Source organism: Homo sapiens, chromosome 8 (assembly GCF_000001405.40).
Source record: "Homo sapiens chromosome 8, GRCh38.p14 Primary Assembly".
Lineage (NCBI taxonomy): Eukaryota > Metazoa > Chordata > Mammalia > Primates > Hominidae > Homo > Homo sapiens.
The window spans coordinates 36,682,014-36,682,908 of record NC_000008.11 but is presented as its reverse complement, the minus strand read 5'-3'; the positions used below and the strand labels follow the sequence as shown (position 1 = coordinate 36,682,908).

The following is an 895-nucleotide window of genomic DNA, read 5'->3' as shown; positions in this document are numbered from 1 at the left end:
GTGAAGCCTATGGTTCAGCATCACCGTGCAGTGTTTCGGCAGGTAATTGATTAGATCAATAACAATTTCTCTTGTAAAGATAGTAGACTTGAAAGCAGAATAGATGTATTTCTGCTCAGTTATTAAATGTGAAGAGTCAGCAGCAAATTTAAAATGAACAAAGTTGATAGTACACATCTAATTCTTTATGGAAATGAACGCAAAGATCAAAATTTGGCAGGCTGGTCTTTCTGCCTCCTTTCCTGTTATTGGCTGTAACAGTAGATTGGCCACAGAAGACTTCCTGGGATCTGGTTCATGATGGAGTGGACGTACATGATTGCTGTCTCATCTTATCTCCCAACTTCCCTCTTCAGTCTCAAGACAAAAAGCCACAGGGTTTGGTTGTTTGCTGGGATGCTTGGAAGGAGGAGTGACCCAGGAAAGTAGTGTCCCTGAGGCCTGCAAAGGGGGTGGATCTGCAAGATAGAGACCAACATAAGAATATAAGTTATAAAAACAAAATAGGAAAGAATAGAAGAAAAGTAGCTGAGTAAGCAAAGAGAAAGAAAAATGAGAAACACAATTAGGTGTTAAATTGTGTTCCCCCAAAATTCATGTGTTGAAATCCTAACCCCCAGTACCTCAAAATTTGCCTGTTGTTGAAAATAGACCTTTAAAGAGGTGACAAAGATGAAATGAGGTTATATAGGTGGTCCTAATACAATGTGACTGGCGTCTCTAAGAAGAGGAGATTAGAAGATGGAAACACACAGAAAGAGAAGACCATTTGAAGATCCAGTGAGAGGTAACCATAGACAAGCCAAGGAAAAAGCTTCAGAAGAAACCAATCCTGCTGACACCTTACTCTTGCACACCCAGCCTCTAGAACTCTGAGAAAATAAATGCCTTTGTT

At 40.0% G+C, this 895-nt stretch overlaps 1 annotated feature.

Moving 5' to 3' along the window:
* Nucleotides 291-491: a silencer, noted in NCBI's record as "peak6993 fragment used in MPRA reporter construct". NCBI's record gives its function as "represses an SCP1 promoter by STARR-seq MPRAs in K562 erythroleukemia cells {active_cell/tissue: K562}" and the evidence as "EXISTENCE:reporter gene assay evidence [ECO:0000049][PMID:32103011]".